The sequence below is a fragment of the Homo sapiens genome, chromosome 7 (genome assembly GCF_000001405.40).
Source record: "Homo sapiens chromosome 7, GRCh38.p14 Primary Assembly".
In the NCBI taxonomy this organism is placed as follows: Eukaryota; Metazoa; Chordata; class Mammalia; order Primates; family Hominidae; genus Homo; species Homo sapiens.
The window spans coordinates 98,227,631-98,247,856 of record NC_000007.14 but is presented as its reverse complement, the minus strand read 5'-3'; the positions used below and the strand labels follow the sequence as shown (position 1 = coordinate 98,247,856).

Below are 20,226 nucleotides of genomic sequence, written 5' to 3'. Positions count from 1 at the left end.
CAGCCACTCAGGAGGCTGAGGCAGGAGGATGGCTTGAGTTCAGGAGTTCAAGGCTGCAGTGAGCTATGATTGCACCACTGTACTCCAGTCTGGACAACAGAGCAAGATACTCTCTTAAAAAATAAAAAAGAAAAGAAAAGAAAAAGAAAGGAGTAGAGAATGGCAGAAGAAGAGAGCCGGGGGAAGAGGAGGAAGGAGTCACTGAGGGCGCATGAAGAAAAGACCCCTACGTCCCTGAATTCACATGGTCACGTTGGCTCTCAACGTGCCCTCATTATGCCCAGATAGAGGCCAACATGGCGGGGAGACCTGCCCACTCTGGGGAAGGACCCCTGGGGAAGTAGTGGGGTAGTTATATCTTTCGAGATTCAACTAAACCTGTAAGCTTTCATTGATTCTTTTGAAAACAAAGATCTGGCCAGGCATGGTGGCTCAAGGCTGTAATCCTAGCAGTTTGGGAGGCCGAGATGGGAGGATTGCTTGAGACTAGGAGTTTGAGACCAGCTTGGGCAACATAGTGAGACTCTGTCTCTACAAAAAAAAAATTTTTAATTAGCTGGGTATGGTGGTGCATGTCTGTTGTTGTCCCAGGAGGCTGAGGTAGGAGGATCACTTGAGCCCAGGAGTTCGAGGCCGCAACGAGTTGTAATCAAACCACTGCACTCCAGCCTGGGTGACCGAGCAAGACCCTGTCTCTACTTTTTAAATTCTTTTTTTTTGAGACAGGGTCTCCCTCTGTCACCTAGGCTGCAGTGCAGTGGCACTGTGTCTGCTCACTGCAACCTCCATCTCCCGGGTTCAAGCCATTATCCTGCCTCAGCCACCTGAGTAGCTGCGACTACAGGCACACACTACTGTGCCTGGCTAATTTTTGTATTTTTAGTAGAGATGAGGTTTCACCATGTTGACCAGGCTGGTCTTGAACTCCTGGCCTCAAGTGATCTATTTTTAAATTCTTTCAAAAACAAAAAAGAGACCGGGCGTGGTGGCTCATGCCTCTAATCCCAACACTTCGGGAGGCAGAGGCAGGTGGATCACCTGAGGTCAGGAGTTCGAGACCAGCCTGTCCAACATGGTGAAATCATGTCTCTACTAAAAATACAAAAATTAGCCAGGCGTGGTGGCGTGCACCTGTAGTCCCAACTACTGGGGAGGCTGAGGCAGGAGAAAACCTGGGAGGTGGAGGTTGCAGTGAGCCAAGATCCCAAGATCGTGCCATTGCACTCCAGCCTGGGCAACAGAGCGAGACTCCGTCTCAAAAAAATAAACAAAAAAAGAAAGAATAAGCAGTTGGCCACGCGCGGTGGCTCACGCCTGTAATCCCAGCACTTTGGGAGGCTGAGGCAGGCAGATCACAAGGTCAGGAGATCGATACCAGCCTGGCCAATGTGGCGAAACCCCGTCTCTACTAAAAATACAAAAACTAGCTGGGTATGGTGGCAGGTGCCTATAATCCCAGCTACTTGGGAGGCTGAGGCAGGAGAATTGCTTGAACCCTGGAGGTGGAGGTTGCAGTGAGCCAAGATTGCGCCACTGCACTCCAGCCTGGGTGACAGAGTGAGACTCCATCTAAAAAAAAAAAAAAAGAGAAAAAGAATAAATAGTCACAGTAGAAGTCTCCCAGGTTTCACATGACTCTGATGTCCCCTGGGCTGGGAGCCTGAACGCTGGCCCTCGTCCTCCTGCCGCAGGTTACCTCCAGCCGCTGCCATGCCCAACTCAGTGCTGTGGGCGGTGGACCTCTTCGGGAGAGTGTACACGCTGTCCACAGCAGGCCAGTACTGGGAAATGTGCAAGGACTCCCAGCTGGAGTTCAAGCGCGTCAGCGCCACCACGCAGTGCTGCTGGGGCATTGCCTGTGACAACCAGGTCTACGTGTATGTGTGTGCCAGCGATGTCCCCATCCGCCGCCGAGAGGAGGCCTATGAGAATCAGGTAGTGACCCTCATGGTTGGAGTTGCCGAGCGGGTCAGTTCGCTGGGTTATTGGTTAAAATGATGAACCACAGAAGGGAAATAGAGGCCCCAGATTCCCCACCAGTTCCTGCCTTCATTTCCTTCCTTGTACTTAAAATCTGTGTTGCTGCCAGGCGTGGTGACTCACGCCTGTAATCCCAGCACTTTGGAAGGCTGTGGCGGGCAGATCGCTTGAGCTCAGGAGTTTGAGACCAGCCTAGGCATCATGGTGAATCTCTGCCTCTACAAAAAAAATACAAGAATTAGCAGGGTGTGGTGGTGTGCACCTTTAGTCCCAGCTACTTAGGAGGCTGAGGCAGGAGGATCACTTGAGCCAGGGAGGTCAAGGCTGTAGTGAGCCATAATCGTGCCCTGCACTCCAGCCTGGGCAACAGAGCAAGACCCTGTCCCCCTGCACCCCGCCCCTCCAAAAAAAATTCAAGTTGCATAGTATCCAGGGTCTTTGAGGCTGAAGCCACTATTGTGTCCTCACCAAAGCAGTCTGGCCAGGTCCCCACGAGGGCAGGCTCCAGTGGTTTCTGGGAGCCTAGGACAAGGTGTGCCCTCCACCGCCTGCCCTGCTCACAGCGCCGTGGCTGGCAGGAGGTTCTTTGCCCTTTGGGGCTGTGCTGATGTACTTGCTGGCTCATGATGAAGTGGCATGGGGGTCCCCAGTTGCTGGGTCCCACACAGGCCCTCTGCTCACTTCCTATTCTGGAGATCAATGAGGGGGTCGGCTGGGCAGGGTCAGCTGGTCCTGGAGATGCCTGGCCCGCCTGGGTTCCCGCCCAGCAGGCTTGGGTCCAAGGCCGCCTCTGTGTCCCCGGCCCTCAGCGCTGGAATCCCATGGGCGGCTTCTGTGAGAAGCTCCTGCTGAGTGACCGCTGGGGGTGGAGTGACGTGAGTGGGCTCCAGCACCGGCCGCTGGACAGGGTGGCACTGCCCTCGCCGCACTGGGAGTGGGAGTCTGACTGGTACGTGGATGAGAATTTTGGAGGTGAACCCACTGAGAAAGGGGTAGGTGAACTTGGGACCCTCCATGACTGCCCTGTGGGGAGGGGGTGCCTCCCGCCTGTCCCTGCTTCTGTCCCCTGCACCCTGTGGTGCCTGAGCTCGGGTGTTTCAGGCCACACCCTCCCTCCCCACCTTCCCCAGCTCTTCAAATGCCTTCCCCGCAGAGCCTGAGAGCCCCTTCCTTGGTGTTTCAGGGGTGGACGTACGCCATCGACTTTCCCGCCACCTACACGAAAGACAAGAAGTGGAATTCTTGTGTGCGGCGCCGGAAGTGGATCCGGTACAGGAGATACAAGTCCCGGGACATCTGGGCCAAGGTCTCTGTTCCTGAATGTGGGTTGGGGGCAGGATAGGGCCAGGACAGAGTGTCACATGCAGCCTCCTCTCCACCTTCCCCACCTGTGTGCACCAGGGGACACCACGCCCACCTCGGGACCTGGCCTTTGAGCTGTTTCCTGTCCCGGGAACACCACGACACTGCGTGTCCCTTCACTTGGGAGATAGTCACACAGGGAGCCAGGCCAGGCCCAGGACAGCACAGAACTTGCCCTGACCCTGGTGTCCAAGCTGCTCTGTCCCAGACTGAGCCTCCATCTGGCACTTTGTCCTCCCCCTCAGCCAAGGGAGGCACCTCTGGCTCTAGCGTTGCTCCATGACCCAGAAGAACCTCCCAGCTTAGGGAGCACAGCACTGGACCCAGGTCTTGGCGTGGCCTCCAATGAGTGGAGGCCTCCCTGGGACATACAGGGCTGTCAGGTGGGGCTGCCCCTGGGACTGGGAGAAGCCAGGAGACCAGGGAGCTGGCCCTATTTTTTTTTCTTTTTAGAGATAGGGTCTCGCTCTGTTGCACTCTGTTGAGTGCAGTGGTACAGTCACAGCTCACTGCAGCCTGGAACTCCTGAGCTCAAGCAATCCTCCCACCTCAGCCTCCCTAGTAGCTGGGACTACAGGCATGCACCACCATGCCCGGTTAACTTTTAAATTTTTTGTAGAGGCTGGGTGTGATGGCTCATGCCTGTAATCCTAGCACTTGAGAAGCCAAGGCAGGTGGATCACTTGAGGCCGGGAGTTTGAGAACAGCCTGGCCAACATGGTGAAACCACGTCTCTACTGAAAATACAAAAATTAGCCGGGCAGGGGCCCCCACAGTCCTGATGCTGCCTTCCCTGTGAATTAAGGCAGCTGCAGGCTGGGCTGAAGAATGGAAGTCCGGATGGCAGGCGGGCGGGAGGTGGGTGCATGCCCAGGTGCCCACTGGGCGCTGACTGCTACCATTTCTCACTTCCTTCCTTCAGATCCCCTCGAAGGATGACCCCAAGGAGCTGCCCGACCCCTTCAACGACCTCTCTGTAGGGGGCTGGGAGATCACGGAGGAGCCTGTGGGCCGCCTGTCAGTGTGGGCTGTGTCTCTGCAGGGCAAGGTAAGGCCAACCCCTCTCCCTGCCCTGGCTCCCCACGATCCCACCTCCTGTGGGTCCTGTCCTGTGCACCCCCTGGGTCTTGCTCCTCCCCGGAGCCCCGGCCCCCCCACCCCATGCCTGCTCCTGGCCTTTCTCTCCTCCGAGCCCCCAGCGTGCTGATCAGTGCCCAGCCTCAGCTCAGGCACATCAATGCGGCCTCCTCAAGACAGTTTCTGAGCTCCCTGCTGGTGCCTCCCACAGTCTTCAGGAATAGTGTGGGGGTGGGTGTGTGGGTGACAGAAGGTGTGCCACTGGACGGATGGGTGGTGTGTGGGCAGAAGGATGGATAGGTGGGTGTGTGGATGGATGGGTGGATGGGTGGGTGTGTGGGCAGATGGATGGATAGGTGGGTGTGTGGATGGATGGGTGGATGGGTGGGTGTGTGGGCAGAAGGATGGATAGGTGGGTGTGTGGATGGATGGGTGGATGGGTGGGTGGATGGATGGATGGGTGTGGGTGGATGTGTGGATGGATGGGTGGGTGGGTGTGTGGATGGGCGGATGGGTGTGTGGATGGGTGGGTGAGTGGGTGGGTGGGTGTATGGGTAGATGGATAGGTGGGTATATGTGTGGATGAATGGAAGGTATGTGCAGATGGACAGATGGGTGGGTGTGCGGATGGATGGATGGGTGGATGGATGGATGGATGGGTGGGTGGGTGGATGGGTGGGTGGGTGTGTAGATGGATGGATGGGTGTGTGCATGGATGGATGGCTGTGTGGGTGGGTGGGTGAGTGGGTGAGTGGGTGTATGGATAGATGGATAGGTGGGTATATGTGTGGATGAATGGAAGGTATGTGCAGATGGACAGATGGGTGGGTGTGCGGATGGATGGATAGATGGGTGGATGGATGGGTGGGTGGGTGTGTGGATGGATGGATGGGTGTGTAGGTGGGTGGGTGAGTGGGTGAGTGGGTGTATGGATAGATGGATAGGTGGTTATATGTGTGGATGGATGGAAGGTGTGTGCAGGTGGACAGATGTGTGGATGGATGGATGGATGGGTGGGTGGGTAGGTGGGTAGTGGATCTGTGGCTGTTTAGAGAGAGGCAATCCTGTCTCAAGGAGTTTGTGAACTAAGCAGAGGAATCGAAGCAGCCCCTGAGGGCAGCAGAGGCCCCGAGGGTCCTGAACTCAGGGCGCTGACACTCGAGTCATGGCTTTCTGTTGCACAGCAGGATTCTTCAGTCGCTCTCACCACGCATTGACCACAGCTCCCCAGTGGGCTTAGCAGTTATTCAGAAGTTGCCAGTTTTGTCGCAGCCCCCCTCTGCGGCCACGTTGGCCTGGGAACAGGCGAACACAGTTGCTTCCTCAGCCCTGCTGAAGGGCGGTGGCGAGGGGCCGGGCAGAGTGAGGGAGCTGCCCCAGGACTGAGCCCCCATCGGGGGGCCATGGCCATCTGGATGCAAAGAGAGAGAGGGGAGAACAGGGGCTGCAGAGCAGCGTTTGTGTCCTGGAATGTCGGCCGTGAGCTGGTGCTGCCTGCACCACACCTGTGGTCCATGAGAGGTGGCACCAGGACCTGGGCTTCTGTAGAAGCTGGGGAGACAGATGGGCCACCTGCTAGCCGAAGGGAGGCTCCTAGGCCTGGTCCTGCAGGGCCTGCTGTAGGGGGATGGTGGCAGGATTGGGAGGCTGGGTCCCCTGTCTGAAGACAGCCCTATGGGGAGGGTCCCTTGCCCTTTCTGGATCACGAAGTGACATGTAGTCTCCCCCAGCTAAAATGAGCCAAACAGTTCAGACGCTCTGAGCACGTTGCTCCCAGTCTTAACCATTCAGTGAAGGAAAAAAGAACTGACGTCTTAGATAGTTTATGAATGGGAGTTGGAGCCTCCCCTGGAGCCGGGTGTCCTGAGAGCACATCGCCACAAGGGGGCATGGGACACACGGGCTGGCCAGAGTGGCCGGAGACCCACATGCCTGAGACTGGAATCAGGTGGTGGGTGGGTGTCCATGAGTGGGCTGGGTTGGGGGCATCACCCCAAACAGATGAATGGAACAAGTGTATCCCTCAGGACCACCGGAATCCAGGGTTTGCGTTTTTTGGCCGGGGTAGGGGGCAGGGAGTGAGATCTGGACGGTCAGGGGACATGGGTCCTACCCCCTACCACACCGAGACCCCCGTGCTTGGCTGGTGTGAATGAGTTGATGCAGGTGCTGTGTCCCTGTCTTGCCTCCCAGGTGTGGTACAGAGAGGACGTCAGCCACTCCAACCCCGAAGGGTCCTCCTGGTCCCTGCTGGACACCCCCGGGGAGGTGGTTCAGATCAGCTGTGGGCCCCACGACCTCCTGTGGGCCACACTCTGGGAGGGACAGGCCCTGGTCCGGGAAGGAATCAACAGGAGCAATCCCAAAGGTGGGCAGCCCGGCTCCCCCACCCACATACCCTGTACTGGGGAGAAGGGTGAGGGTCACTCGCTCCCCAGCTGTCCAGGCTGATGGGGGCCACTGGGGGTTTCTTGGGGGCCCGGTAGGAAGTTCCTGGTCCATCGTGGAGCCTCCTGGATCTGAAAACGGGGTCATGCACATCTCGGTGGGAGTCAGCGTGGTCTGGGCTGTCACCAAGGACTGGAAGGTAAGATGGGGATGAGGCTGGGGGATCACTTGAGCCCAGGAGTTGGAGACTGCAGTGAGCTGTGATCACACCACTGGACTCCAGCCTGGGTGACAGAGCGAGACCCTGTCTCAAATTAAAAAAAAAGAAAAACCCAGGCCGGGTGCAGTGGCTCACGTCTGTAATCCCAGCACATCGGGAGGCCTAGGTGGGCAGATTGCCTGAGGTCAGGAGTTCAAGACCAGCCTGGCCAACATGGTGAAACCTTGTTTCTACTAAAAATACAAAAAATTAGCTGGGCATGGTGGCGGGCACCTGTAATCCTAGCTACTTGGGAGGCAGGAGAATTGCTTGAACCTGGGAGGTGGAGGTTGCAGTGAGCCAAGATTGCACTATAGCACTCCAGCCTGGGCAACGAGAAAGACTCCGTCTCAAAAAAGAAAAACCCATTAGAACAAATCCGGCACCAGCTGAGCACCATGCATTGTTTGTTGCTGAAATTGTTGCCAATCTCCAGGACGTTTTGTGCCGTAAAATCCTCTTCCACCCACACGCTGGTACCCAAATGCAGCAACTGCAAGTATCACCTAATAGGCTGCAACATTTCGAAGAATCGGAAGCGAATTTCCTGAAGCCCTTGATTAACCAAGCGCCTCCCCATCCTCTAGTCACTGCTTGTCTTTTGCATCTTATCAGCGGCAAGTCCAATAAAACCAGCCGATTTCCGATTACTCACAGGGTTTTTCTTTTGTTTGTTTTTTTTGAGACGGAGTGTCGCTCTGTCACCCAGGCTGGAGTGCAGTGGCGCAATCTCTGCTCACTCCAAGCTCCGCCTCCCGGGTTCACGCCATTCTCCTGCCTCAGCCTCCCTCGTAGCGGGGCTACAGGCGCCCGCCACCACGCCCGGCTAATTTTTTGTATTTTTAGTAGAGATGGGGTATCACCGAGTTAGCCAGGATGGTCTCGATATCCTGACCTCATGATCCGCCCGCCTCAGCCTCCCAAAGTGCTGGGATTACAGGCATGAGCCACCGTGCCTGGCCAGTCACAGGGTTTTTCTAACTGCTTGTCAAGGGGGTTTCCCTGGCCCGGGGGATGGACGGCCCACACGTCTGCATCTGTATCTCCAGTGCTGAAGCTCTCAGAGTCTGAGGCCACTCCCAGCCCACAAAAATACAGACCAGACTGTCCCCCACATTGGATCCTGGTCACCCCACTTCCCAGAGACCACAACTTCCAAGCCCCTCTTACAGCCATGTGTCACTTTCTTTGGATTAAATGGGCAACATTGGATTTCTTTTTTTTATTTTTTAATTTGAGACAGAGTCTCGTTCCGTCACCCAGGCTGGAATGCCGTGGCCCGATCTCAGCTCACTGTAACCTCCACCTCCTGGATTCAAGCGATTCTCCTGCCATGGCCTCCCAAGTAGCTGGGGTTCCAAGCGTGTACCACCACACCTGACTAGTATTTGTAGTATTTTTTAGTAGAGGCAGGGTTTCACCATGTTGTTCAGGCTGGTCTCCAACTCCTGACCGCAGGTGATCCACCCGCCTCAGCCTCCCAAAGTGTTGGGATTACAGGTGTGAGCCACCGTGTCTGGCAGCATCTCAGGCATTCTAATAGCACAAGGTCTCCAGTAGGTCTGAGACTAACGGGGCCTCCCAGGCCACCATGGAGAATGTATAAGAAGAGCCCTGATGGAATGCCGGGTGGCGGGGTGGAGCATGACCAGCCGCTGAATCACAGAGCCACAGACAGTCTGGGAAAATCTAGTGGGAGTGTGTGTATTTTTACACGTCGACATGAAAATACTTCACTTTAAGTATTTCTTGAAGTACTAAGAATAGACCCAAAATAGGGGTCTTGTTTTTTCTAATAATGAGCTTTTTAAAAACTAGTTTTCCTAAATAACAGTATTAAGGCCGTTGTCTTTCACAGGGACCAACTCAATTCAAATAAAGTAGCCTTTTCCAAGCGTTAGGCTGGAGAATGGGCAGGAAGCTGCCAGGACACATGTGGCTGAGGCCAGAGGACCCTCAGCCCTCGTGGGACAGTGCCAGGCACAGGAGATGCGGTCAGGGTGTGGGAAGAGCGGCGTGGATCACGGATAAGGGCTTCCTCGCTAAATGATGTACCACTGCTCATTTGCGACGTGAACCAAAGGATCAAATTATTCACTTGTTCTCCCTGAGGCTTAAACGAACGAACCGTCTGTTTCAGTGGCCCTCCAGGAAGGCATGTTTATTTCTGACTCCCCCAGGTGTGGTTCCGAAGAGGCGTCAACTCTCACAATCCCTGCGGCACCAGTTGGATTGAGATGGTTGGTGAGATGACGATGGTGAACGTGGGAATGAACGACCAGGTGTGCACGTGGGTCTGCAGCCCCTAAACAGCAGGGGTCTCAGAATGGGGGCTCCTGATGCCACCCAATAGCCTAGTGGCCGCTTCCCACTGTAGGAGAGCCCCCCACTCCATTGTACTGAGCAAGAAGTTCTTTCTGAGGTGCCAGGCTTCCCTCTGCTGCCACACCCTCCTCCCACCCCCCCGGTGGCACAGCACCCAGAGGCCAGGGGGAGACAGGCACCTGCTAGTGCACAGGGGTGCTGAACCCAAGGCGAGCCTGCCAGGGCCAAGGGACAGAGACGCCACAGCCTACCTAGCCAGGCCACCTAGGCCCTTTAGCAAACCTTACTTCTTGCCCAAAGGCAGAGAGTAGGATGCCTACCCAGAAACCTTTTCCATGGAAAGTGAGGTCAGAATCAGGGAAGTTACTTTACATCTTAAAAAAAAAACACCACGGCCAGGTGTGGTGGCTCACACTTGTAAATCCCAGCACTTTAGGAGGCTAAGGTGGGAGGACCACTTGAGCCTAGGAGTTTGAGACCAGCCTGGGCAATATAGTGAGACCCCATCTCTACAAAAATTTAAAAATTAGCCAAGTGTGGTGGTGTGCACCTGTAGTCCCATCTACTCAGGAGGCCAAGGCAGGAGGATTGCCTGAGCCCAGGAGGTCAAGGCTGTAATGAGCCATGCATGATTGCACCACCGCACTCCAGCCTGGGTGACAGAGTGAGATCCTATCTCTAAAAAAAACCAAAAACATTCCGGGCACAGTGGCTCACGCCTGTAATCCCAGCACTTTGGGAGGGTGAAGTGGGTGGATCGCCTGAGGTCAGGAGTTTGAGACCAGCCTGGCCAACACAGTGAAACCTTGTGTCTACTAAAAATACAAAAATTAGCTGGGCGTGGTAGCACGTGACTGTAATCCCAGCCACTCTGGAGGCTAAGGCAGGAGAATCGGTTGAAGCTGGGAGGCGGAGGTTGCAGTGAGCCGAAATCACGCCACTGCACTCCAGCCTGGGTGACAGAGCAAGACTCCATCTCAAAAACAAAACAAAACAAAACAAAACTTAGCTGGGTGTGGTGATGGGAGCCTGTAATCCCAGCTACTTGGGAGGCTGAGGTAGGAGAATCACTTGAGCCCTGGAGGCGGAGGTTTCAGTGAGCCAAGACTGCGTCATTGCACTCCAGCCTGGGTGACAGAGCAAGACTCTGTCTCAACAACAAAAAACAAAGACAACAAAACCAGGACCACCTCTGGGTTCACTGGGGGCATCTGCTTCCCACCAGAGGGCACACGCAAGACAGGGAGGCAGGTGAACCTCATTTCCTAACACAGCGTCCCCCAGCCCCGCCACTTCCCGTGGACCTTGTCACCTTGAAACCCTGGGTCTGCCTGAGGTCAGGGAGACGGGACCAGGTCGCAGCTTCTCCTGAGCCCCCTTCCAGTATTTGACTTCTGTGCCCACCACACAGCCCCAGCATGGACCTTCCCAGCCCACACACACCTGCACATGGAGGACCCTGCCTGCATTTTGCACCCCTAGGAAGCGAGAAGAGCCCCCGGGCCTGCGCCCAGATTCCTCGGAACACAGCCTCTCTCTTCCAGGTGTGGGGCATTGGCTGTGAGGACCGAGCCGTGTACTTCCGGCAGGGTGTCACCCCCAGCGAGCTCAGTGGGAAGACCTGGAAAGCCATCATCGCGGCCCGAGAGTGTGACCGGTCACACTCTGGCAGCTCGTCTAGTCTCCTCAGGTGACTGGGGGTGGCAGGGTGCGCAGGAGTCAGGCTGGGATGGGCCGTCTGAGCCTAGGTGGTCATGTCCAGAAGAGGCTGCCACCTGCCCCACTGGGTCCCAGGACTTGTCCCAGGCAGGAGAAAATGGGTCTCCACTCACAAAAGCCACAAGAGCCGAAGCCCTCCTGCCTCGGTCCCACAGAGAGGAGGTCCTGGGGGCAGCCTGGGGTGGCCACTGGAGGTGTTTGACATACTCTGGGCTGCTGGTGGCGGCACCTGGGAGCAGGGTAAGGCTGGGCTGTCGTGATGGAGGTAAGGCTCGACCCTGAGCTGGGTTGTCCCATTGGGTCCGAGGCTGAAGATCTGGGGCAGAAACAGTTTCTCTGGGGTGGAAGTAAAGGCCCTTCTGTCCAGGGGAAACAAGGACAAGACAGAGGGTCTCTGCCCAGCCTGCAGCAGTGGTCTCAGACTCAGGCATCGGGGTCTCCTGGAGGGTTTGTTCAGACTTTGATCTCCGGGTCTTACCCCGAGTTTGTTTGAGACTTGGTATTTCTCACCAGCCCCCAGGTGATGCTGCTGCAGTTTTGGGGCTGCACCTGGTGGTCCGTGGGTCTAAAGAGCATGGACAAGCCCCAGCTCTGCCCACCAGCCGTGAGAGCACAGGCAGGCGACTCAGTGGATGAGCTGGGGACATCTCAGCTCTGCAGCGGGCGTGTCCACATCATGGGCATGGATGGAGATGGCGCTCAGGGCCCAGGCTCTGCAGCCGTCCACGTTTCCACCTATAGCTGTGACCCTCCCTAGCCCCTGGTCCACACCCCTCTGTGCCCTGAGCCTGGTGGTTGCCACCCTGCCGTGCTGTCAGCCCAGAGGCCCAGGGAGGACAGCCAGGGCAGGCGTTTGCTCATGTGTCACCTGAGGGTTTAGTCTGCTCAGATGGTGTTTTTTTTTTTTTTTTTTTTTTTTGAGACAGTCTCACTCTGTCATCCAGGCTGGAGTGCAGTGGTGTGATCATGGCTCACTGCAGCCTCAAACTCCTGGGCCCAAGTGATCCTCCCACCCCAGCCTCCCAAGTAGCTGGGATTACAGATGTTCACCACCACACCTGGCTAATTCTTGTATTTTTAGTAGAGACAGGGTTTCCCCATGTTGGCTAGGCTTGAACTCCTAACCTCAAGTGACCCTCCCACCTCTGTCTCCCAAAGTGTTGGGATTACAGGCGTGAGCCACCACACCCCGCCAGCTGGTAGTTCTTTTTTTTTTTTTTTTTAGACGGAGTCTCACTCTGTCGCCCAGGCTGGAGTGCCACGGCGCGATCTTGGCTCACTGCAAGCTCCACCTCCAGGGTTCACGCCATTCTCCTACCTCAGCCTCCCGAGTAGCTGGGACTACAGGCACCCGCCACCACACCTGGCTAATTTTTTGTATTTTTAGTAGAGATCAGGTTTCACCGTGTTAGCCAGGATGGTCTCGATCTCCTGACCTTGTGATCCTCCCGCCTTGGCCTCCCAAAGTGCTGAGATTACAGGCGTGAGCCACTGCGCCTGGCCCCAGCTGTTAGTTCTTAAACTGGAAAGCACATTAGAATCAGCTGAGAAGCTTCAAAAACTACAGATGCCAAATCTTTATAACTTTGAGGTTAGCGATAGCTTCTTAGATATGACACCAAAAGCACAGGCAATGAGGAAATACAGATAAATTGGACTTCATCAGAATTAAAAACTTTTGTGAATCAAAAGGACATTATCAAGAGAGTGAAAAGTCAGTGGAAGAAAGGCAAGGCTGGGTGCGGTAGCTCACACCTGCAGTCCCAGCACTTCAGGAGGCCAAAGTGGGTGGATCGCTTAAGCCCAGGAGTTCAAGGTCAGCCTGGACAACATAGTGAGACCCCATCTCTACAAGAATTTTTTAAAAAATTATCTGGGTGCTGTGGCATGGGCCTGTAGTCCTAGCTACTTACAAGGCAGAGGTGGGAGGATCACATGAGCCCAGGAGGTCGAGGCTGCAGTGAGCTATGATCACGTCACTACACTCCAGCCTGGGCAACAGAGAAAGACTCTATCTCAAAAAAAAAAAAAAAAAAAAAAAGACAATAACAAATGCTAGTGAGAACATGGAGAAATTGGAACTTCATACACTGCTGGTAGGAATGTGAAATGGTACAGCCACTGTGGAGAACAATTTAGCAATTCCTCAAGACATGAAACCCAGAACTGCCATGTGAGCCAGCACATCCACTGCTGGGTGTATATCCAAGAGGCTTGAAAACGCGTTTTAGTCCATTTTGTGTTGCTATAAGGGAATCCTGAAGCTGGTCTTTTATAAAGAAAAGAGGTTTATGATCGGGCGCGGTGGCTCACGCCTGTAATCCCAGCACTTTGGGAGGCTGAGCCCAGCGAATCACTTGAGGTCAGGAGTTCAAGACCAGCCTGCCAACATGGTGAAACCCCGTCTCTACTAAAAATACAAAAATTAGCCAGGCGTGGTGGTGCATGCCTGTAATCTCTCAGCTACTCGGGAGGCTGAGGCAGGAGAATCGCTTGAACCTGGGAGGCGGAGGTTGCAGTGAGCTGAGATTGTGCCCCTGCACCCCAGCCTGGATGACAGTGAGACTCCGTCTCAAAAAAAGAAGAAATACTAATTCTAGATCTTCACTCTCAGATATGTGGATGTGATTGGTCTGCAGGGTGGCCCAGGTGTCAGCTCCCTGGAAGCAGGTGCTGATGTATACCTTGCACAGAGGAAGAGACAGGAGTTCAGAGAGGTTCTGACTTGCCCAAGTTTCCACAGGCAGTCATGGTGGAGCACGCTGGAGCTGGGCCTGCCTGACAGCGCCTGTTCCCCTGCAAGGGAGTGATGGGTCTGCCCTGATTTGTCCCCAGTGCCGGCTGCTTCTTCGGTGATGAGGTGAGGGGTAGTGGCGAGTCTGCCCCCAGCGACACCGATGCCTCCTCGGAAGTCGAGAGACCAGGGCCTGGCCAGATTCTCCCTGCAGAACCTCTAGACGATTCCAAGAATGCCACAGGGAACTCAGCCTCAGGCCTGGGGGCTGGCAGGACCGCAGAAGATACCGTGGAAGATGCCTGCCCAGCCGAGGGCAGCAGGGAGGCCAGACCCAACACGCACCCCGGCCCGGCCCCCACCCCGGCCGAGCTGCCCTGGACCAATATTGACCTCAAGGAGGCCAAGAAAGTGCCCAGCCACTCGGCCGCTGGCTTCCCCGAGACCACCAGCCTCTCCTCTCTGGGGCTCCTCCCACTGGGCTTGGAGGAGCCGTATGGGGTGGATGACCACCCGCTGTGGGCCTGGGTGTCGGGAGGCGGCTGCGTGGTGGAGGCATGTGCCATGCCCAGATGGTTCACTGTCCAGGCGGGTAAGGGCTCCTGCAGGGCCTGGGGGCATCCACATGGCCAGGTGCCCTGGGGGTGTGGGGTGTGGGAGGAGGCCGGGGTCAGGGGGCTCGGGCAGGCCTGCTGTCCTCCCTGGACGCCTCACTGTGCTCAGCAGCTCTGAGCCAGGCATTGCGCTCCTCTGTGGCCTCCAGAGACCAGCCCGAGGCTGTCAGGACCTGGAAGCACGGTGGCCAGTGCCCCTTCCCCTGTCTGCAGCCCCTCCCCTGTGCTAGCGGTGGTGGCTGCTTTCCAGGCTGAATTACTGGGGGAGAGCAACTCATCCAACAGGGCAAAGGGTGGAAGGAGGCTTAACAGAGAGCGTAGCTTTTGAGCTAGAAAGGGCTGATTTGGTGGAGGGGAGCGCCGTGGCTTCCTGCCCAGCTGCGGGCAGGACAGTGCCCCGGCCCTGAGGCTCTCTCTGCCCCACAGGCCTGTCCTCCTCGGTACACATGCTGTCCCTGTCCATCACGCCGGCCCAGACCGCTGCCTGGAGGAAGCAGATCTTCCAGCAGCTCACGGAAAGGACCAAGCGGGAGCTGGAGAACTTCAGACACTACGAGCAGGCCGTGGAGCAGGTGGGTGCCCCGGTGGCTGCGCATGCATTTTTTTTTTTTTTCCAGCAATCATTCATTGAGCGCCTGCTGTGTACCAGCTCTGAGAGAAACAGATAGATGCCTCCATCCCCTGGTCTCCCGCCCAGATGCAGGCATAGAGAAATGAGCTCAGGGTTTCTTCGTCCATCCTGAAGACTTTGGTTTGGGCCTCACTGTGTTCCAGACTCGTTGGAGGCCCTGGGGACCCAGAGACGGCAGCAACCTCAGAGGGTGGTGGGTGGGGAAGGGAGGGTGGCCAGGGAGGGGAACCACGTCATCCTCTTCCTGCTGGAGGGAACCCCGGGCGCCCAGGGGTGTAGCGTGTGATTGCAAGGAGTTAGCACAGAGGGCGGCCGGAGACCCCACCCCTGGGCTGACCCTGCTTCTGCCCCACTATCCTGTGGCAGAGCCCGGCCCTCAGAGGTCAAGTGTGGGGGTGACAGGGAAGTCACACAGAGCATGTGACCTGCCTCATTCCAAAGGCCCCTGGACACAAGTAGGCTGTGGTTTGGGTTCTAGCTCTGCCGCTGGCTCACTCTGTGACACCAAAGCCAGGCACGGAACCCTCCCGAGCCTGTCTCCCCATGCAGAAGGCGGGATGGCAGTGCCCACTCTGGCTGTTTGAGAGAGAGGAGGTTGTACGGAACAGCCCTGGCTCAGCCTGCACCTATTGGGTGTCCGGCAGCGTCACTGTTATCATTAGCATAGGGGGAGCTGGGCTGACAGCCGGGAGTGCTGGGTGGGCCCTACCCCAGCCCTGCCTCCTCCTCTGGGCACCCCCAGCCCCGCCCTCCTCCCCTGGCACCCCGGGCCTGCCTGTGATGGTGTCCACTGCCCCGGCCTGCGCAGTCGGTGTGGGTGAAGACCGGGGCGCTGCAGTGGTGGTGCGACTGGAAGCCCCACAAGTGGGTGGACGTGCGCTTGGCCCTGGAGCAGTTCACGGGGCACGACGGCGTCCGGGACAGCATCCTCTTCATCTACTATGTGGTCCACGAGGAGAAGAAGGTGCCCACGGGTCCCACAGGAGATGGGGCCAGGGAGGGGACACAGGGCTGGGGTGCTAGAGGAGGGGTACAGAAATGGGGGTGCCCAGGGGAGGGGTACAGAAATGAGGGTGCCCAGGGAGGGACACAGAAATGAGGGTACCCAGGGGAGGGGTACAGAAATGGGGGTGCCCGGGGAAGGGGGTACAGAAATGGGGGTGCCCCAGGAGAGGGAGTACAGAAATGGGGGTGCCCAGGGGAGGGGGTACAGAAATGGGGGTGCCTGGGGAGGGGGTAAAGAAATGAAGTACCAAGGGAGGGGGCAGGGCTGGGGGTGCCAGGAGAGAGGGTGTCCGAGGGCCAGGGTCCCAGGGTGAAGCACAGTGGGGGTCACCCTCCAGAGGCCTCCTGCCCTGGGTGACAGCCCTGCCGGGCGCCTGTTCTGTGAACAGTACATCCACATATTCCTGAATGAGGTGGTGGCGCTGGTCCCAGTGCTGAACGAGACCAAGCACTCCTTTGCCCTGTACACCCCTGAGCGGACACGGCAGAGGTGGCCGGTGCGTCTGGCTGCTGCCACCGAGCAGGACATGAATGACTGGGTGAGTGGTCGGTGGTCCCCTCGGGCCGGGGGGAGGGATAGCCATGGTGGGGTGGCCTGGCCTGGCCTGGCCTGCTCAGCAGTGACCGGCATTGTGCCACACCAGCTCGCCCTGCTCAGCCTGTCTTGCTGCGAGAGCCGGAAGGTGCAGGGCCGCCCGTCCCCGCAGGCCATCTGGTCCATCACCTGCAAGGGGGACATCTTCGTGAGCGAGCCCAGCCCAGACCTGGAGGCCCACGAGCACCCCCTGCCCTGCGACCAGATGTGAGTGAGCCGCACTCTGGGTGGGGTCTGGGGCCTGGCCTCACCCCGAGCTCGTGGTTACAGAAGGGGGATCCAGAGGACTGGAGTCCACGCAGGGTCAAGCTTCTCGCTGACCAGGCAGAGGCACGGCCACTGGTTCCCAGGCCCCCAAGTCCCCCTGGGCCTGTCCAAAGACTCCAAGAGGGGGAACCAGAAGCCCCACTGGGCCCAGGGTGGGTCAGTGCCGCCCAGCAGCCTCTGAGCATCGGGAGGAATGTGGAGTGTGGGTGAGGGGCACAATTCTCCACCCCAGGGGGCTTCCAGGCTGTAGCAAAGCAGCCACGTCTCTCCACCTGCCCAGGGCACAGACCCGGTGCTCAGCCGCCTCCAGCTCCAGCTGAGCCCCTGCTGCATGGGCGGCCCGGGGCCTGGGGGCAGAGAGGAGAGAGCCGCTGTGGGAGGAGAGTTTGGGGGCGTGGTCAAGGCAGAGTTGGTAGGGTTTGAAGTCCAGCAGGAGTGGGCAGAGAGAGGACTTGACGTTTGGCACTGGGAAATGCTGGTGGAGACTGGACCTGGGGGACGTGGGGTAGCCAGGCTGGAGTGGGGTGAGGGCAGGGCTGGGCGCACAAGCCTAGGAGACATTGTTCTGTTGGGGACATTGAGAGCCACAAGGTGGGGCTAGGCAGGTTGGCTCACGCCTGCAATCTCATCACTCTGGGAGGCTGAGGTAGGAGGATCACTTGAGGTCAGAAGTTCAAGACCAGCCTGGGCAACATAGCTAGACTCGTCTCTACAAAAAAAAAAAGAAACCAAAAAAGTTAGCAAGGCATGGTGTCATGCACTTGTAGTTCCAGCTGCTCGGAGGGCTGAGGTGGGAAGATCACTTGAGCCCAGGAGTTCAAGGCTGCAGTGAGGTGTGATCACACTCACACCACGGCACTCCAGCCTGGGCAACACAGCGAGACCCTGTCTCAGAAAAAAAAAAAAAAGCCACAAAGGGGGAATGAGGTTCCCTGGGGGGGGGATCTGAGCTGAGTCCTGAGGACAAGGGCCCGGCAGGGGACATGGGGGCTATGATTCTGTCCCCTGTGGGACAGAGGCTGCCCTGGGGTTGTTCCCAAGCCGACGAGGTCCTGGGCTTCATTACCCGTGGGCACTGGGGCTGGGGACATAGTGAGCCAGAAGCCCTGGCTGCAGGAGGGGACAGCAATATCCTGTCAGAGGATTCAGACCGCCTCTGGTGACAGTGACAGTGACAGGGCCTCGGCCGCAGGAGGCTGTGACCTGCACCAGCCGCAGCCTGCACTCTGCCCACCCAGGAGGCCATGCTGTGCTGGCACCGCCTCCCGCTGACACCCTGGAAGCCCAAGGGCCGTGCTGTCACTCATGCAGAGGATTAGATGTCATGTCCGGCTCTGCTCTGTGACATTCAAGCCTGGCTGCACCTGCCACTGTGGCCAGCCCATTTCCCCAGGTCCCAGACCCCAAGGGGCCCCTGTGAAACACGCCGCTGGCCTCATCTCCCTCCATGTCACCATGGGGCTGAAGTGGGTGGGTTCCAGAAGACTCCCAGCCCATGGAGAGGGTCTGACCTGCACAGCCCCAGTGCCGAGACCCTGCACCTCTCGTGGGCTGAGTCTTTTTAGCGTTGATTAATATGAACGCGGAGGTCAGGCAGGGTGGATGGTCTGTGCTTGGAGACCGAGGGCTGGGAAAATCCCAGAACCACAGGAGGACACGGAACAAAAGGGCAGCCAGGCAGGGTTGGAAGGTGGGGTCTGAGGGGTTTCCACCTGCCCTCTCCCATCCTTCCAGGTTTTGGCGGCAGATGGGAGGCCACCTGCGGATGGTGGAGGCCAACAGCCGGGGCGTGGTGTGGGGCATCGGCTATGACCACACGGCCTGGGTATACACAGGCGGCTATGGAGGCGGCTGCTTCCAAGGTGAGGGCGGCCCACAGCCCCCCCGGAGCCTTCCTGGGCGTTCTTTCCTCTAGTCCCCGTCTGGGTTCCCTGCCCAAGGCCAGGGCCATTGTCCCAGTGTTCACACTCGGCTAACAGCTGGCTGACAGGTGACCTTCACCACTGCCAGCCTCCACCCAGGATGGTCCCTGCCAGTACCCACTTCGAGCTGAGGGCCTCGAAGGTTCCAGAGAGGCAGCGGCCAGGGTCCACCAGCATGTCCAGCCTCTCATTTTCAGGGTGTTAGGTGGGTTCCTCCTTCAGGGTAGGCACTCGCTGAACTTCTGTGGCCCCCCGATTTCTAGGAGCCAGGGTCCCTCTGTTCCTACTGGAAAACGAAGGCGGAAACAGACACTGAAACGGGGCGTTCCAGGCCGCAGCCCACATGCCCCACGGGGGAGCAGCTAACCCCAGAGAACTGTGGTCCCCTGATACCCCAGGAACGCATATCTGAGCAGGCTTTCCAGCTTCCCTGTGTGTGAGGCAGGAATGACCTCTGTCTTCATTTTACAAGTGAGGAAGCCGGGGCTCACGGAGGTTACGTTGATGGTCCCAGGTGCCTTTGTAACACAGAGTGAGCTGGGTGGGCCTCATGCCTCCCTGGTGCTAAGTAGGAGGGCAAGGTGGGAAGAGGCGCTGGAGGGGTGTGGATGGGAGATTTAATGCACAGCAGGCTGTGCTCATCGAGGTTGCACAATCCCAGAATAATCACGGTCCCGGAGGAGAAAACCCAAGCCAGGCCGACCCCCGTGCGATAAGCTCAACAGGACTGTTTGCTCCTCTCCGCTGACCTGGCTCCAGCCCGCCCTCCCCGTCTCTCTGGGAATCTGTGCTTCAGACGGAAAGCCAGAGTCCCAAGCGGAGCGTATGTGGCCTCGGTCCCAGCAGCCACCTCTCCCCACAGGCCTGGCCAGCAGCACCAGTAACATCTACACGCAGTCAGACGTGAAGTGTGTTCACATCTATGAGAACCAGCGCTGGAACCCCGTCACAGGCTACACCAGCAGGTAAGTGGCACAGGTGCCCGGCCAGGATGCTGCCTGGCATAGGCCTTAGTCCTGGCAAAAATAGGACAGCAACATCCACCGTAGCGTGGAGTCCAGTAGAGCCTGGTGTCAGGCCGCCAGCAGGAAACTAACCGGATCTTACCGCTCACTGAGATTTTTTTCCTTGAATCTTTTTTTTTTTTTTTTTTTTTTGATACAGGGTCTTGCTCTGTCACCCAGGCTGGAGTGCCATGGCATGATCTCAGCTTACTGCAACCTCCGCCTCCTGGGTTCAAGCAATTCTCCTGCCTCAGCCTCCCGAATAGCTGGGATTACAGGCGCCTGGCACCACTCCTGGCAAATTTTTTGTATTGTTAGTAGAGACAGGGTTTTACCATGTTGGC

General features: G+C 57.4%; 1 protein-coding gene across 5 annotated transcripts in view, besides 3 other annotated features; it reads left to right on the top strand.

The window, feature by feature from the left end:
- TECPR1 (tectonin beta-propeller repeat containing 1) overlaps window positions 1-20,226 on the top strand; it is a 37,609-nt gene that overhangs the window by 4,376 nt on the left and 13,007 nt on the right. For 2 of the 5 annotated variants that reach the window (XM_005250253.5, NM_015395.3), the window contains exons 3-17: window positions 1,692-1,935; window positions 2,790-2,972; window positions 3,164-3,286; window positions 4,265-4,390; window positions 6,613-6,787; window positions 6,906-7,006; window positions 9,247-9,348; window positions 10,936-11,081; window positions 13,946-14,436; window positions 14,885-15,030; window positions 15,898-16,053; window positions 16,484-16,633; window positions 16,739-16,896; window positions 18,691-18,818; window positions 19,741-19,843. In XM_005250253.5, the coding sequence (XP_005250310.1) occupies window positions 1,711-1,935; window positions 2,790-2,972; window positions 3,164-3,286; window positions 4,265-4,390; window positions 6,613-6,787; window positions 6,906-7,006; window positions 9,247-9,348; window positions 10,936-11,081; window positions 13,946-14,436; window positions 14,885-15,030; window positions 15,898-16,053; window positions 16,484-16,633; window positions 16,739-16,896; window positions 18,691-18,818; window positions 19,741-19,843 (2,513 nt within the window). In that variant the 5' untranslated portion in view covers window positions 1,692-1,710. Of the gene's footprint in view, window positions 1-1,691; window positions 1,936-2,789; window positions 2,973-3,163; window positions 3,287-4,264; window positions 4,391-6,612; window positions 6,788-6,905; window positions 7,007-9,246; window positions 9,349-10,935; window positions 11,082-13,945; window positions 14,437-14,884; window positions 15,031-15,897; window positions 16,054-16,483; window positions 16,634-16,738; window positions 16,897-18,690; window positions 18,819-19,141; window positions 19,350-19,740; window positions 19,844-20,226 lie in introns of those variants that run through there. The other 3 variants (XM_047420119.1, XM_017011937.2, XR_428174.4) reach the window with 2 other exon arrangements.
- Window positions 6,189-7,091: an enhancer, noted in NCBI's record as "H3K27ac-H3K4me1 hESC enhancer chr7:97870078-97870980 (GRCh37/hg19 assembly coordinates)". NCBI's record gives its function as "activates a minimal SCP1, AML or CMV promoter by ChIP-STARR-seq in naive H9 embryonic stem cells {active_cell/tissue: H9 hESC(naive)}" and the evidence as "EXISTENCE:reporter gene assay evidence [ECO:0000049][PMID:30033119]".
- Window positions 15,854-16,054: a silencer, noted in NCBI's record as "peak6653 fragment used in MPRA reporter construct". NCBI's record gives its function as "represses an SCP1 promoter by STARR-seq MPRAs in K562 erythroleukemia cells {active_cell/tissue: K562}" and the evidence as "EXISTENCE:reporter gene assay evidence [ECO:0000049][PMID:32103011]".
- Window positions 17,177-17,830: an enhancer, noted in NCBI's record as "H3K4me1 hESC enhancer chr7:97859339-97859992 (GRCh37/hg19 assembly coordinates)". NCBI's record gives its function as "activates a minimal SCP1, AML or CMV promoter by ChIP-STARR-seq in primed H9 embryonic stem cells {active_cell/tissue: H9 hESC(primed)}" and the evidence as "EXISTENCE:reporter gene assay evidence [ECO:0000049][PMID:30033119]".